Here is a 2,143-nt window from a genome sequence, read left to right on the forward strand (position 1 = left end):
CTTTTTTTAATGAACAATTGCAATTGTCTAAGCCAGTATCTCTCAAACATTTTGGGACACGATCTTCAGTAAGCCTGGACCTAATTTATGCCAAACAGATAAAAGCATCAAGAAACAATCCTTGGCTGGGCGTGGTGGCTTATGCCTGTAATCCCAGCACTTTGGGAGTCCAAGGCGGGCGGATCACTTGAGGTCAGGAGTTTGAGACCAGCCTGGCCTCATACGTCTTTTAGTAGACACATGGTGAAACTCTGTCTCTACTAAAAATACATAAATTAGCCAGACGTGCTGGTGCATGCCTGTGATCCCAGCTACTCAGGAGGCTGGGGCAGAATCGCTTGAACCTGGGAGGCGGAGACTGCAGTGAGACGAGATCGTGCTATTGCACTCCAGCCCAGGCGACAAGAGCAAGACTCCGTCTCAAAAAAACAGAAAACAAAAACACCAATCCTCACCTTAACTCCTTATGATGCATTGATATTTTGTTTCATTAAATTTTTTCTTTTTTTAAAAAAAAATACTGGTCTCGATCGGCTTTACAAAACACTGGACTAAGAATCTGCATTTTGTAAAGAAAAGCTTCAGTGTTTCATATAAACATGGGTTTAGAAAACCGGATACAGCCTGGTGAAAAAACAGCAAATCTTAACATGGTTGGATTTTATGGCTAATTTCAGGGAAGAGATTTTGAGTCCTCCCACGGAGTTTTCAATGACGATACAAGTGCATTTTCACAGTGCTAGTCAACTTTCATCCCTGGCTATGTGCATGCCGACTTTGATCGCTCCGCCACCGGAGAGAACATGGGCCTTACAGTTAGATCTAAGTTCTAATTAACATATATTTTAGCTTGGTCAGAGCGTCACCCCATTTTCCCACCTGTAAAATGGGGGAAACAATGCAACAATGCCTTTCTGAGAAGATCGTTGTGAAGCCTGAGTGAAGACACCTGGCACAGTGCCGGATTGCTTAAAGATACTCAGAAAGGGCCATTTTACTTCCTTCTCTTTGAGTGTTATTTTGAAGTTCAAAGTCACTTTCCCTGTAACTGAAGGACAAGGGACATTGTTGGTTGTCACAACTGGGGTAGAGAGGTGCTACTGACATTTGATGGGTAGAAGCTAGGGATGCTGTTAAACATCCTACAAGGCACAGGACAGCCCCCACAATTGATTAGCCGGCCCCAAATGTTAATATGCCAAAGTTGAGAAACCCAGCACTAGAGGAATCCACCATGGCAGAGACTGGCCCTGTCAAGGTTATATAGATTTGGATGAGGAAATGGGGATTCACAGAAATTGGGTTAATTACCTAAAAACCATAGCACTTAAGGGGCCAGCATGAACTCTTGAACATGAAACAAAATCTTTTCCAACCCCAAAAGATCTTTCCACTATACCATACTGCCTGCCACCTGCCCTGAAGCAGTATAAGAACTGTCAACAGGCCCATGCTATGCAGTTCTAAGAAAACTAAACCACAAGTGACTGAAAAGCTGTTATCCTAGAGCTTTCAAGTATGCTCCCGTTCTTATTTCCAAATCACATGCTAATATGAACTAAAAGACAACTAGTTTCGACTAGTTGTCTTTTAGGAAGTCTCTAAGGCTAACAAACTAGACCAATACAAGAAAACCATAGCACACATGCCAGAGCAAATAGGGGAACACTTCTCATCATTCTGCCCACTTAGAAGAGCTTAACCGTACCAAAATTACTCAGTACTTGGAGAAAGTCAACCTCTCTCCAAATATTTGTATAGACTCCATCTTCCCAGAAAAGCTGATGTCATTGTTTTGTGCTATGAAAACTATGATAGATGGCAAGAGATATTACTCCACAACAATCAAAACACCACAGGCAAAATAGAAGTCTGGATATAAATTGACAAGTGGTAATGTAGAAAAAAAGTATCTTGAATGCTGCTTACAAACGCAAGTCATTAATCACAGTAGCTAAAGATTTTAGCCCTTCAGAAACTAACTTCCAATAGGCTATTTTGTAGAGGCAGGTTACACTAGTCAAATTAATTGCACTATTTCTTTTGATAAATAATCAAGCAAACATTGGGATTTTACTCAAGAAAAGTAAGTTAATCATTGCTCAGACATAATATTCATGACAAAGTAGACTCAAAATTCAAC

This window comes from Homo sapiens, chromosome 13, assembly GCF_000001405.40.
Source record: "Homo sapiens chromosome 13, GRCh38.p14 Primary Assembly".
Classification (NCBI taxonomy): Eukaryota; Metazoa; Chordata; class Mammalia; order Primates; family Hominidae; genus Homo; species Homo sapiens.